This window comes from Homo sapiens, chromosome X (assembly GCF_000001405.40).
Source record: "Homo sapiens chromosome X, GRCh38.p14 Primary Assembly".
Classification (NCBI taxonomy): domain Eukaryota; kingdom Metazoa; phylum Chordata; class Mammalia; order Primates; family Hominidae; genus Homo; species Homo sapiens.
In genome coordinates, this window is record NC_000023.11 from 41,577,703 (window position 1) to 41,593,445 (window position 15,743).

Genomic DNA, 15,743 nt, shown 5'->3' on the forward strand with positions numbered 1-15,743 from the left:
TGCTCTGTTCAGTTAACATCAAGGAGCCTTTCCTTGATCTTCTCAGTCTACGAGAATTCTATGAGAATGGAGGCAAGGTTCAGCATCAATTCTCTTCCAGCTCTACTCCCAAGCACTGAGTAAATTGATTCATATTAAGTAGGTAGCTGGGAGTGGAAGAAATTTATTTCAGCAGTGTTACTCAATTCTTTGAATGCCCCCTGAATTAATCTTCCTCTAATTTTGTTGAAGGCAAAAGATCTGAAAACTATAAGATTTATAAAAGGATGATTTTTACAATGTTACTAGACATTCACTTTCTCAATACCAATACCAATATTTCAAATTGTCCCTTTCTTTGCTGCCCCAGAGGTTTTTACACCCTGGAGGAATGTTACAGTATGTTCCCCTTTTTTTGGTTGAAGGGCAATTGTGAAAGGAGAGGTGAGAAAGAGAACCGGAATGCCTAAGACAGTTTCAGGCAGAACAATTCTAGAAAAGAAGGGCAGGGGGGAACTGAAGATCTGGAAACTGATTTCTTTAAAACTATCCATGTCTTCCTTCCCTCCCCAACTCCTAGTAGCATAGGTTGAAGTTAGTTGATATAACTCATGCTGGGATCTTATGAGAGTATTGAAAACTTTCTCTTCCTACTTACCATTGGTTCATCTGTGTTCTTTTGAAACTGTACCAGCCGAACTCTGGTCACATTCTCCATATCCATGTCTCCGTTAGCACTTTCTGGAGAATCGCCGTTTAAATAGGGAGAGGTGGGAGGAGGTGTGACCCTCAATGCTTCATCACTGTAAACTTCATGTGCCACTACGTCGTGAGTCTGAAGTAAGGCCTAGTGTTTTATGAAGAAAAAAATTATTAATAACATTACTATTTCAGCAGAAATTTATTTTATTTATTTATTTATTTTGAGACAGGGTCTCACTCTGTCACCCAGGGTGCAGTGCAGTGGTGAGATCTCAGCTCACTGCAGGCTTCATCTCCTGGGCTCAAGCGATCCTTCCTTTGCAGCCTTCTGTGTAGCTGGGACCACAGGTGCATGCCACCACACCTGGCTAATTTTTAAATGTTTTCTTTGTAGACATGGGGCTGACAAATTTATTCTATAAACATATCTCATTCTTTTCCTCTCAAAGGTATCATTCATCTAAAGAGAACATAAAGTGTGTAATATCGACATCCAACTATCTCAATTTTTTTGTGACAATCATGATAAATAGATTTTTTAAAACGTAAGTGAATAAATGAGTGAATCAATGAAGAGATGTGTTTGATGATTATCTGGGTCAGAGGTGTTATCAACTAACTTGTTCAAATGAAGGTAGACGGTACAATTTCAAGTAATTTAGCTAAAAGAATCATCTATAAATAGAGTTGGCAAATTTGTGCTGGGGCTTAGAATTGAAACAAATTTAAAAAGAAATAGTGCAATAATTGGAGTATTGAGCAAGTATCTTTCATCAATGGCATTTACAATGACGCTTTTATATAACCCAAAGGATGAAAATAATTTATAGCATATGATTTAGAAAAAGAAAAAAATACACACAGATGTACCTTAAAAACGTAATCTTCCAAAATATCACGTATGATATGGAACTCAAACTCTAAATATGTTAAATTTTTTTGTTCATTATATTTTTTGGAGCACTTGTTTAAATAAAAAATAAGTTGAGAATTATTATTATGACTTCTTTTTGCAAAGCCTATTAACAAAGAGAAAGTGATTTCTTTGAACTGACATCTCTATTTGTCAGCTTGGTGAACTTCAACAATAAAATGTCCCTTGTTTCCCTAAAAAAGAATGTCCTTCTACTCACCACACTTTTTGTGCCATCATAATAAACCCTTTCTATTAAGCATAAATATTTGAACATTTCTATTTCAAAGAGAATCTACAGCTATCAAAATGTCTGGAGCTTTATACAAAGATTATATTTTCTTATGTGCTAACTATAAATTTGGTTCTATTTTAATTTGGGATCTGTGCGGTAATATCTGCAGATAATGAAATGCAGTTAAAATTGCTTTAAAAATAATAACTCATAGCATCTGAAATTAAGTTATTTTATTAAAAGGCTTAAAAAAGTCATGACTTGGCTATTTAATTTTAAAGGCATGCATACGAGGCAAAAAAAAAAGGTAACAATCTGGTAAAATCATAAAGAAGATAATGCTGATTTGTTACCAGTAAAGAATATGCTTTGAGCATTATACACAGTTGAGTTTCTAATGGAAATGGCAGATATTTTCACAATCTCAGAAGGCTGGTCTAAACTGGGATTTGGGTGAGGAGCACCAAGGGGCACTAAGCAATATATAGCTTGAAAGTAGTGCTCCATGATGGCCCTGGGGACCTTGGCTTCCTCACCAGTGCCCTAACTGCACCTTGTACTGGTACTCCTGAGCCCAAGTATAGAGGCTGTCCTATGTGGGCAAATCCCTCTTTTTCTGATTTAATTGTGGTCACATAAGAAACCAAGATTTAGGGCAAAAAGCAAAAATCAGTAACATAAAAACTGGAACATTTCATTTGCTAAAATTATGTTCGTCATATCACTGCAGCCTTGACCTCTTGGGCTCAAGTGAACCTTCTACCTCAGCCTCCCAAGTAGCTGGGACCACAGGCATGTGCCACCACACCCAGATCATTCTTGTATTTTTTGTAGACACGGGGTTTCATCATGTTGCCCAGGCTGATCTTGAACTCCTGAGCTCATGCAATTCACTCACCCCGGCCTCCCAAAGTGCTGGGATTACAGGCCTCTACTCATTCTTTTAAATTATATAAGCAAACATTTGTATTTAATGCATTATTTACAAGGAAGGATTAAGCCCACAATCATAAAATAATACTCAAACTGGACTCTAAAAGAAAAATGCTTAAATGATGTCACCAAATAAGGTCATACTCGATATTAACCACAATTTGGCACTGTAAATGATTGCTACCACAAAACGAAACTTAACCTAAAGCTCTAATTCATATCCAAACAGAAAAAGGGGGCCACTTACAGACTATCTTTTTAAAAGCTTAAAAGAGTATATAAAATAAAAAATAGGGAAACCAAAATTTGAACATTTTTCTTCAAATATGTTAAGACGTATGAGTGAGCAGTTGTCACTAAGCTGAAATAGCTGTCAGTTTTAACTACGTAACAATCGTGTAATAGGAAAAAAACACTTTCACTTTTTGTACTATAGTAAGGATATGTATAAGACAACTAACAACATCAGACTAGAGTGGAAAAAATCTGACTATTTAATGTTTCATATTTTACAGCTGCAATAAGCAAAGGAAATATTCTTTTTAAAAAGTCAGCCTTTCAAATGGAATAACTAAAAAAGTAATCAGTGAGATAATATTCTTTTATGATGACCTCTAAAGATACAGATTTTAGGCCAGGTGTGGTAGCTCATGCTTGTAATCCCAGCACTTTGGGATGCCAAGGAAAGAGGACTGTTTGAGCTCAGGAGTTCAAGACCAGTCTGGGCAACAAAGTGAGACCCCCGTCTCTACAAAAAATAAAAAAAAGTAGACAGGCATGGTGGTGCATGCCTGTAGTCCCAGCTACTTGGGAGGCTGAGGCAGAAGGATTGCTTTGCCCAGGAGTTGAAGGCTACAGTGAGCTAAGAAGGTGTCACTGCACTCCTATCTAGGCAATAGAGCAAGACCCCGTCTCTTAAAAAAAAAAAACACAGAATTTTAAAGTCGTTTAAATTTACCCTTATTTCCTCTTCCTTTAGTTACTGTAAATATCTACAAGTATCTGGATTTTCAGTGTTGGGTAATTCAATGTTAAATCCTCATGTTATAATAATCAGAAAGCAAAGAAAAATTCGGATGACTGAGCAAATAAGTGTGAAATTATAAATATGCCAAGAATAACTCCCAAACCTTGGCATAATAAAAAAATTGTAAGTATTAACATATTTCCCCTTAGCTATTAATATTTCTTTAAAAATACCAAGATTTTGAAGCCATGATTTTAAAAACGCTTATAAGATAGAAAGCCCCAGCATTTAAAAGCTTATTTAATATAGTATATATATATATATATATCTCAGAATTATATTTCCCACATAAGATATTATCTACACAAAAGCTTATTTAGGAATGACCAATGAGCTCAACTTAAATTTATTAGAAATCTGATTAGCATTATAAATCAACTGACTTTTAGGAGCATAGGCTTTGGCGCTAGCAGGATCTGGCTTGAACCTCATTGAGGCCACTGATTGGTGAGTGACCTTAAGCAAGTCTCTTTACCTTGTTAGGGCACAATTTCCTCTCGGAATTGTGAAATGGGTTTAATTACACCAGCTTACATCCCAACCATCAGCAAGTCCTCTTGTATGTAACCATCTCCAACACAGAAACCCCATCTGCCCATGTTCTACCATCCTCACCTTTCTCCAAGCCTCTACAACCTCTCACAACAGCCTTCCAATTGGTCTCCCTAAACTCTTATCCCCCCTACAGTCCGTTCTCTACACATCAGCTCCAGCAAGGCACAGATTAGATATTTTCCTGCGTGCCATCACTTAGTGTCATCCTACTGCAATCAGGAGAAAACTGCAGACTCCTTACAATGGCCTGGAAGGCTTTTATTTATTTATATTTTTTATTTTATTTTTAGATGGAGTCTCGCTCTGTCTCCCAGGCTGGAGTGCAGTGGTGCGATCCCAACTCACTGCAACCTCTGCCTCCTGCGTTCAAGAGATTCTCCTGCCTCAGCCTCCTGAGTAGCTGGGACTACAGGCGCCCACCACCATGCCTGGCTAATTTTTGTGTTTTTAGTAGAGACAGGTTTCACCATGTTGGCCAGGCTGGTCTCGAACTCCTGACCTCGTGATCCGTCCACCTTGGCCTCCCAGAATGCTGGGATTACAGGCGTGAGCCACCATGCCTGGCCTTATTTTATATATTAAAAAAATAAATAAATTGGTCTGGCCTCTGCTGACCTCTCTTGGTACAGGAAGTACCACTCTCTCCCTTGTTAACTGTATCTCAGCCACAAAGGACTTCTGCTCCTTGAATCTACAAAGCTCTTTCCTGTCTCTGGGCCTTTGCATTTGCTCTTCCTCAAAGGAGTCTCAGCCCAAATGTCTACTCCTCAGAGGGGCTTTCCCCTATCTAAAGCAGCTCCCACTTTACTATAATCTCTGCACCATTATCCTTTCATTTCTTCATAGTTATTATTGCCATATGAAATTATCTTGTTAGCTTACTTGCTCATTGTCTACCTCTACCTCTCCTACCTGTCCTCCCACCCCACCTCCACTAGAGTGGAAGTTCCATGAGGGCAGGGATCTTGTTTGTCTTATTCATTACTAGGTCCTTAGTGCCTGGCATAGTGTGCCTGGCATACAGTAGGCATTTACTTATTTGATAAATGAATGAAAATGTCTTTTAAGCACCTAGCTAGGTATTCAATAAATTATAAAAATTACTTATTATTTCTGAAAATGTTTACTAATAGCAATGCACATATTAACTTCTCTCTGACTTCAGAAAAGCAAAACATATCGAGACTTAGAAGACAGATAAGCTGTCATACAATGGGCTATATGAGCCGTAATGATTTTGATGAAAAAAAAGGCTCCTATTTGGGTATATGTTAATTTATTTAGCTTACTTCAAATCTGAAAGATCTATTGGTCTCATACGGCCCTATATCATTCTCTGAATTGAGCTGAGTTTACTTAGCAATTTATAGAAAGACATGTCTGTCCAAATTCATTTTTTATTTTTTTTTTGAGACAGAGTCTCACTCTCACCCAGGCTGGAGTGCAGAGGCGTGATCTCGCCTCACTGAAACCTCTGTCTCCTGGGTTCAGGTGATTCTTGTGCCTCAGCCTCTCAAGTAGCTGGGACTACAGGTGTGTGCTACCACGCCAGGCTATTTTTTTTTTTTTTTTGTATTTTTAGTAGAGATGGGGTTTCACCATGTTGGCCAGGCTGGTCTTGAACTCCTGACCTCAAATGACTCTCATTCCTCAGCCTCCCAAAGTGCTGGGATTATAAGCGTGAGCCACAGTTCCTGGCATTTTTTACTTTTTGAGACAGGGTCTCGCTCTGTTGCCCAGGCTGAAGTGCAGTGGTGCCATCATGGCTCACTTCAGCCTTGACCTCCCAGGCTCATGTGATCCTCCCACCTCAGCCTCCTAAGTAGCTGGGACTACAGGCATGTGCCACCATGTCTGGCTAGTTTATTTTTAATTTTTTGTAGAGATGGGGTCTCCCAATGTTGCTGGTCTTTGACTCCTGGGTTCAAGCAATCCTCCTGCCTTGGCCTTCCAAAATGCTGGGATTACAGGCGTGAGCCACTGTGCCTGGTCCAAAATTTATTATATATCTGTTTCTAGCTATGGAACACTGCACAGAGCAGTCAGCCAAGGAGAGCCTAACCTATCTGCAAACGGGCAGGTTCCTAATCTATTCAATGTTTTACTGATAACTTACTATGTGCCCTATACATGATAGATACTATGGAGCAACTAATAATAGGTATCAGATAACATCTATTAGGCACTAAGCATATGTCAAGCATTGTGCTACGCACAGTAGATATATCAGCTACTTAATTCTTATTCTGACTCCACGAGGTTGACTCAGAGTCAGAGTTCATAAAGTTACGGTGGCAAGGATGGAGTTCAACCCCAGGTCATCTGAATTCACATCTTTAACCACTTTTATAATATAGAACAGTGGTCCCCAACCTTTTTGGCACCAGGGACCCATTTTGTGGAAGACAATTTTTCCACGGATGGCAGGGTGGGTGGGGGTGGGGGATAGAGGTCGGGGAATAGTTTTGGGATGAAACCGTTCCACCTCAGATTATCAGGCATTAGATTCTCATAAGGAGTATGCAACCTAGATCCCTCGCATGCGCAGTTCACAATAGGGTTCCCACTCCTATGAGGACCTAATGCCTAGGCTGATCTGACAGGAGGGGGACACAGGTGGTAATGCTGGCTGGCCTGCTGCTCACCTCCTGTTGTGTGGCCTGGTTCCTAACAGGCCACGGATGGGTACTGGTCAGTGGCCCAGGGGTTGGAGACCCCTGCTATAGAAGACATGCTGTCTAAAAGGGAATGAATTATAATCTGGGGAAACACAGCACATATGCATGAAACAGTGAACAAGGTAATATTAACGGTAATTTAACTGCAGATATTTGTGATTCATCACATTTGAGGATTATTAATAAAGCATATAGTTTCTTTATTCTCCTGCTCTGTGAAATAGAGATAATCACAATGACTAAATGAGATAAGCTCAATGAGAACAACAAAACTGGGCTGGGATATGGAAGGACAAAGAAAAATTGCCCTGGCTCATTCACTGGGAAGAGACCTGCTCTGGCAGGCCAGCAAGCATTAGAATGTTATGCAGGTGAATACAAACAAGTGGAAAAGAGTTAGAGAAGAGAAAGTTCAAGAGAAGGGTAGAGAGGTTACAAGATACCTTGATAAAAGAGGTGAGATTTGAACGAAGTTCTGTGTTTATACACCTAGGTTGTAAAAATGCACTCATCTACAGGCATTAGAACCTGTATCCTAATTGTATTTCACTGGACAGTGCTGTTACCATAGAATAAAGTCAAATACTCTCAAGGATTATACTTGAATTCAGCCTTTAATGCTTGGGTGGGAGAGTTAGGAAGGATGAATATGGTAATTGCTTCTTTCCAGGTAGTTACTTTTAGGAAAAAAACTTTATTTCAATAACTTGGTTAAAAGTTTAGAAACACTATCATAAAGGGCCAGGCACGGTGGCTTACGCCTGTAATCCCAGCACTTTGGGAGGCTGAGGCGGGCAGATCACGAGGTCAGGAGATCAAGACTATCCTGGTTAACACAGTGAAACCCCGTCTCTACTAAAAATACAAAAAAATTAGCCAGGCGTGGTGGCGGGCACCTGTAGTCCTAGCTGCTCAGGAGGCTGAGGCAGGAGAATGGCGTGAGCCCGGGAGGCTGAGCTTGCAGTGAGCCGAGATTGCGCCACTGCACTCCAGCCTGGGCGACAGTGCGAAACTCCGTCTCAAAAAAAAAAAAAAAAGAAAAAGAAAAAAAGAAACACTATCATAAAACAGCATATATATAATAACTCACAGGTAATTGCTTTGATACACATATTATACTGTTACTATTATTTTAAAAGTGTCACCTGTGGCCAGGCATGGTGGCTCATGCCTGTAATCCCAGCACTTTGAGAGGCTGAGGCAGGAGGTAAGGTCAGGAGTTCTAGACCAGCCTGGCCAACATAGTGAAACCTCGTCTCTACTAAAAATACAAAAATTATCCAGGTGTCGTGGTGCACGCCTGCAATCCCAGCTACTCGGGAGGCTTAGGCAGGAGAATTGCTTGAACCTGGAAGGCGGAGATTGCAGTGAGCTGAGATCGCGCCACTGCACTCCACCCTGGGTGACAGGGTGAGACTCCATCTCAAAAGTAAATAAATAAATAAAAATTCAAAGTATCATCTGTAATAGTAGTTATAAGAACAAGGCTTTTAAGTCAGATTTTCTCCCAAAGGGCAGTGAGGTAAATTTTCCACTTTTCACATATTTTTCACATAAACTGATGTGGCTAATGCTTTTAAAATGGTATATTCAACATGAATTTCCATCTGTAATTGTGTTTTTGTATTGCAGTTAGGTAGATAAGCATGGACCTTTTTCCACAGCAAAGTATCTTATCTATTTTGAGCTTTGAGCTTTGTTTAGCTATTTAGCTTTATATTTGGCTAAATACAGGTGTTATCCCCATTTTCCATATAGTAGAAATGAACCAAGAAAGTGCAGCAGTTTTGCATTGTCAAAAGAGATGTAATTCTTCCAATATATCACCTAGATTCAGACGATTCCTTATTATTGAAAACTGTCTCTAATTTTAGTTCTTTGTGGTTTAAGTAACATAAACAGTTCCAGTGACTAAAGGACTACCCCATAAGAAAGAAAATCCCTTGTCTGATGAGTACAGTCCCTGAAAAGCCACTTCACCAAGAGTATCTTTACAGTTGTGACACAAAGTAAACAAAACAGTCTTAAAATATTTGGTATTACCTGGTATTGTAATCTTAATAGTCTCATATGATATGGATAAAAATGCATGAGATGAAGCTGGCTACATTTTATGAGGGTAGTTTAAAAACTTCTTTTGAAAGTGAGGTTTCAGTTCTATGGAAGTTTAATTATTACTTACCATGAAATGAGGTTGTGTTAAAATACGCTTTAGTTCCTTTGCGTCGTTATTCTCAGGGTAACATGAAATTTCTTCCAATACCTAAAAAATAAACAAGATATACAATAATACAAACATGACACAAGATTTACAAAATGTTAAATTCTTTTAAGTTAAAAATTATGAGTGGATTTTTATGGCAGGCAAAACAATTATTTTGAAAAACTTTTCATTTTATTCAAATGTTATTAATACATAGAAGAACAGTATTGATGGTAATAAAAATGAAGCAAATTGTTCTAAAAGTCTGTCAACTATAACCTAAAAGGTTATTGAAAAATATAAAGCAAAATGACAAGGCTGCAACATATATTTATTACAGATTTATGAAACTTAACGGAAGAGTATCTCTGAATATCCTTTTCCAAACTCACCATAAAAATCAATATGGACAAAAAGTTAATAAGAAGTTTTCTTTTATATTAACAGCACTGCCAATTCCCTTTAGAAATGTCAAAATGACACAGGCACAAATAGAAACGATTTCAAGAACAGAACTAATTAATTAGACTACTTAATTAAGAATACACAAGTAATTTTTCTTTAAGTAATGTAGAAAATGCAAAAATGCCTGCCGGATCAATGTTTTTCCCCATAGTCATCTGCCCACACAGAGAAAGTCATGCCTCTGCTAATGGCTCTTAGGGTTAAATGCCAGGGAGCCTAAGAGAACAATTTTTTAAAGCCTTATTTTCTCTTTCCACTCAAATTTTCTTCACTAATTAGTCATTAACATTTTTCTGCACAGGTAAAATTGATTGTTTTCAAATAAAATTGTTTTAAAAAGTTCTCCTTTACCACCAGGATGGAGTTTACCTGTGTAAGTTATTTATGGGACATGAACCCATGAAAAAGCCTCTGTTCTTTTTCTGAGTAAACACCTGCTGCTATTCTAACTGCATATGGCTGGATTCAGAGGTTTGCATTACACTCAACTGAATTCCAACCATTAAGCCAATAAAGGATTGCTTTGGCACAACTGGATGGCAGGATCATACCACCATCCATCCAGGAGGACTCTCACCTCAACCTGTGAAAACCATACAAAAGCTTCCTACTGGGGCAGGAGGGGGATGTTGTGAGGTCACATGGCCCGAGCCTTAGATTTTAGCATCATAACTAGAATGTTCTGTGCTACTCAACTACTGCCTCAGGGAAGAACAAACAAACAAGCAAAAATGACAGAGCTTTCTTATCCGAATACCCTGTTCATTAGAGTGCTGGTTATGCTGTTAATTCATATTGTTTCAAGATGATAAACCAATTATCCTTGGTGTATTTTATGCTCCGAGTTTCTCTATTAGTGAAATGAGAGGACAAAACCACATACTCTCTCTGGGTCCTTGCTCCTCTCCTAGTTTATTTTTAAATACAGAGGTGTGGTATTTCCACCTAAGCAGGGTTAGGGGGAAACCAGCAGGTTTTCACTGTCCAGTTGAGCCAAAGAATTGTCCCCAGAGTCTCTCTGCTTCTATCTGCGTATTGTGAAGACAGGGTGGTGATTCATGCCTCTATCAGCGATATCTTAATTCCCTTCTATGAGCCCTTGGTGGTGAAGTCAGAGACAACCCCTCCAAGCTAGTCCTGACCAAGTGGGCAGGCCGGGCAGCCTCCACTGCATGGGTCTCATTTCTCAGTGAACGTACACCATCTTCCAGTACAGACTTTCTGTCTAAAATCTGGTAGGGAAGGGATTATGTCCTTCATAGTCTTTCACATAGTAATTTCACTTTATAAGAAATAATTTTTCTAAAAGAAAAATGTTTATTTGCACAAAGACTGACATGATCAAAAAATGAAAAAAAAAAAAACCCATGTGTCTAACAATGGGAGAATTGCTAATATGTTATACTTTAATAACAGCAAAGAAAAATATTGCAGTCATTAGAAGTTATATTTGTAAAGATCAAGTAGAAACATGGAAATATGCTTATTATATAACGGTAGGTTAAAAAAGACACATTTTGATTACAACTATAAAAAAATTTATATGCAAATGGAGAGTGACTAGAAAACGATATATAAAAATGGAAACTACTGTGTTAGGGTGATGAGATTATGGATCTATTTTTATTTTCCAAACTTTCTGCAATGTTGTATTTCTATCATAAATAGGTTTTTAAAAGTTTGTGACAGATATAGCCACATACCTTGACAATTTACAAAAATGACTTCTTTGAACTCAGTATATTTAATTGCTACAGAAATTTAATTAACTTTCAAACATTACCACCTTCAAAAAGCAACTCAAATTTTTATAGCATGTCTATTTCCACCAAGTGTTGTAAAATAACTTGCTTTTTTAAAAAACAGAAAAAGAGAAGTAAAATTGATGGTAATGTATTCAAGTTTACATCGCAGAACCAGAACTAGAAATCTAGGCAATATTGCTGCAGAGATCTTTTTTCTTTTCTGTATGTTCAGTAATAAACTTAGAAATACTAAATCTGAATATAATGAGTCAAATTGTGACTCCAGGGAAACTGCCTCTTAATGTGCAACAGAAATGTCTTCAATAAAGGTGGCAAATATGATGATGCCAAATACTTCTATAAAATATATCACTTACCTCTTTGGCTCTCTGTACTGCATCGCTTGGAGGATTCCTGATTTGTGGTGAAGACTTTGTGTTAATTTTGTCATACAGCTAAAAAGCAAAGAAGAAAATCCAGTAAACACTCACAATTCTTTGCTAAAAATCAGAGCTTCATATTTATTATTTCACTAAACAATATTTTTCTTTTAAAAAGGCAGGCTGATGATTTCAGTGGGATCCTCTTGGTAATAACCTCTGAATTGTTCTGTGAAACTTGTCAGAATATGAGTCTTATGCATATCTTTTCAAAAAATCATCTTTAAATAGATGGACCAAAATTCTGTCAATGTGGCAATTTCCTTGTCATTTAAAATTCATCAATATTTCCTCAATCACAGTGTTTGTTTCCTCTGACAGAAGCAACTTTCAATAGCATGAATACAGAGTAAAATGAAAGAATGCTTTCTGGCCAAGGCACGTCTACACGGAGTAAAATGAAAGAATGCTTTCTGGCCAAGGCACGTCTGGAAGAATTTTCACAGAAACCTAAATCTTGGGAAAGGGCAAACCCAACTCCTTCTAGGAAGGAATGTTCTCACAAAGGCTTATGGTTGTTTTACTAGGGCTGTTCATTAACAGAATCAGTGCTGGTATCCTTCAGCAGGAAGTCAAGGACATAAACTTTTTTTCTTTTGACTCTGCCAATTCAGAGTGGAGAAGACACTGAAAAGAAAGCAAATATACGCTGGGAGCGATGGCTCATGCCTATAATGCCAGAACTTTGGGAGGCCAAGGTGGGCGGATCACCTGAGGTCAGGAGTTCAAGAACAGCCTGACCAACATGGCAAAACCCCGTCTCTACTAAAAATACAAAAAAAATTTGCCGGGCATAGTGGTGGGCGCCTGTAACCCCAACTACTCGGGAGGCTGAGGCAGGAGAATTGCTTGAACCTGAGAGGTGAAGGTTGCAGTGGGCCGAGATCACACCATTGCACTCCAGCCTGGGCGACAGAGCGAGATTCCGTCTCCAAAAAAAAAAAAAAAAAAAAAAAAGAAAGAAACTAAATATATTTCTAAAATTCCACAAACCTAAATGATCCAAAGTTCAGCTTTCTGAAGAACATACATTTAATTATTTTAGAAATACAATTAAAATATTAATTTCTACCTCAAATAAAGTGTTTCATAGTCAACAGTCTGCTTTGAAAAGTGAAAAGTTAAAGATGACCTCGGCTGTTGTGAACACTTTTATTTCCTAACTTCTCTAAAACAGGTGGGGATTTTCGTGGTCGGTTTTATTCTTTTTTTTTTCTTCACCTACTCTGTACACCAATGCTAGTTGAGAAGTCAAATACTGACTATAAACATTCTTCAGATTATAGTCAGATTTGCTTATACTAATGCAAGATAAATTTTTATGACTTATAAATATTTGGGCCACATCATACATAAAAATGCCTAACAAAAGCAATGTGAAGATAGAGCAGGGACAATTTTTTAAATGATGTATTAATTAAGAAAGCACTACTAAATCAGAGATTAAATAAATAGTATAAGTAGACTAGTAAAATGCTGCTCTATTTAAAACATTATATTAACATTTTAGGGAAATGGTGATTTGTGGCTCGTCCACAAAAGTTTGCCCAAATCCCTGTAAAATATATGTGGGCAGTCTCCATCTTCTGAATGCTTTCTATCTCTAAAGAAATGTCAATGTTGTAACTGGGATCATATTTTCCCAGAAAAATAATGTTATAAATAGTGATTAGGTTTCCAGACTAGCCTATAGAAATGAATTGCACTGCATGCATGCAATAAAAAATAGTAAAACAACAAAAAACCACCACCCAAACCCAAACAAAATGCAAAACCAAAAAAACTAAGAAACCATAAAACACACATATACACACACACTACATTACATTTGCAAGATGAATAAGTTCTAGTGATCTGCTGTACAACATTGTGTCTATCATTAACAATACTGTATTGTGCACTTTGTTTTTTTTTTGAGGCGGAGTCTCGCTTTGTCTCCCAGGCTGGAGTCCAGTGGCTCAATCTCGGCTCACTGCAGCCTCTGCCTCCTCGGTTCGAGCGATTCTCCTGCCTCAGCCTCCTGAGTAGCTGGGATCACAGGCGCGTGCCACCACGCCCAGCTAATTTTTTTGTATTTTAAGTAGAGACGGGGTTTCACCATGTTGGCCAGGCTGGTCTCTAATTCCTAACCTTGTGATCCGCCCGCCTCGGCCTCCCAAAGCGCTGGAATTACAGGCGTGAGCCACCGTGCCCAGCCAACAATACTGTATTGTGCACTTTAAGATTTGTTGAGAGGGTAGAGCTCATGTTAAGTGTTCCTATCACAATTAAAAAAATACATAACACTTTAAAAACACATTTAGTCACCCCCTGACGTGTCATAATATTATCAAGCAAAGTTTAAATAATCTAAGTGAATACATAAAAATATTTTTATAAAATCTCAAACCCGGCTGGGTGCAGTGGCTCACACCTGTAATTCCAGCACTTTGGGACGCTGAGGCAGGCAGATTGCTTGAGCCCAGGAGTTGGAGAACAGCCTGGGCAGCATGGCAAAACCCTGTCTCTGCAAAAGAAATACAAAAATTAGCCAGGCATGGTGGCATATGCCTGTATTCCCAGCTACTCAGAAGGTCAAGGCTGCAGTGAGCTATGATCGCATCACTGCACTCTAGCCTGGGTGACAGAGCAAGACTTTGTCTCGAAAAAAAAAAAAAAAAAATCTCAAACCTGTTTGAGAAAAAAAGCAAATTTAATTTGAGGCTTTACAAGTTGATAGCACCATCACTTTATAATGTCTAATTCCATGATAAACTGTAAGTTTTGCCTTTTTCTTGATCAAGGACTATTATTTCCAACATTTTCAACTATGATTATGGTTCGTTTCTATTTAAACATTTAATAAATGCACATCAATTTTTCTCACAAAGAAAAAATAATCCCACAACTCCCCAAATTGGAGATAATTTTTGACCTGGTCTTACTATGTCATATACAGTTCCTTAGGTCTTATATCTGTAATTTCTTAAGAACGTGTGGCCGAATCAGATGTAGTACTTATGGAACATAGATTCCTGGACCCCCCTCCAGACCTACAACATCAGAATTTAAGAAGGAGGTCCAGAAATCTGTGCTTTAATAAACTCCTTAGGTATTTGAAAATCTTATGTCCAGTGCTAACTTTTGAGAGTACTAATAGTACTACTACTAATAGCAACAATATTACTTTTATTGAGCACTTACTAGATGATAGTTACTAGTCTAAGCTCTTAACATATACTCATTCACTTAACCTCAAACAATCCTACGCAGTTGGTTACCCCTACTATTCTCACTTTAAGATGAGAAAAATGAGGCACAGAGTGGTCAAGTGAGAACCGCTGTTCTATCCATACAACTTCATAGGTGGCACACAAGTGCCTGGAATCTCTTTTGAGGCACTGCTCCAAGGAAAATACTCAGACCAAATTTTTTTCCACGCCTTTGGTCTGGTCTGATCCAGTTCAATCACTTAAATTAAATTCAACTCACCTAAAGTTCAGTGGAAGTAGTGGCAGGATGAGGGGGAGGTGGGATGCTTAATATGAAAGGCAGATACAATGGGAAGGAATTAAAAGGTGGGGCTTCTACCTGAGGTGGGGGCATTGGGCTCTGCTTCTTCTAAAAACTGCAGCTCTCAAGTCCTAGAAACTGCACCTCTCAAGGCAGCCACAGGATAGAGAGGATGGTGTCCATGTGGCAAAGAATACACTGTGAATCTCGGCTGCTGGCTCATCAACCAAAAGGGCAAGTAAGAACTGAAGCAGGAGGGAGTGAGGAATGGGCTCATTTTGTCACTGTCAGAGAGAAGTGACCCTTTGTTGGTTCATCCACATACCCATCCACTCAATATTTATTGAAGTCTTACTAGGTACTAAAATGTGGGGTT

At 38.3% G+C, this 15,743-nt stretch overlaps 1 protein-coding gene across 12 annotated transcripts in view; it reads right to left on the minus strand.

The window, feature by feature from the left end:
* CASK (calcium/calmodulin dependent serine protein kinase) overlaps positions 1 to 15,743 on the minus strand; it is a 408,621-nt gene that overhangs the window by 62,769 nt on the left and 330,109 nt on the right. For all 12 annotated transcript variants that reach the window (NM_001126055.3, NM_001410745.1, NM_001126054.3 and 9 more), the window contains 3 exons: positions 11,813 to 11,890; positions 9,205 to 9,285; positions 638 to 826 (listed from right to left, as the gene is read on the minus strand). In NM_001126055.3, the coding sequence (NP_001119527.1) occupies positions 638 to 826; positions 9,205 to 9,285; positions 11,813 to 11,890 (348 nt within the window). The remainder of the gene's footprint in view (positions 1 to 637; positions 827 to 9,204; positions 9,286 to 11,812; positions 11,891 to 15,743) is intronic.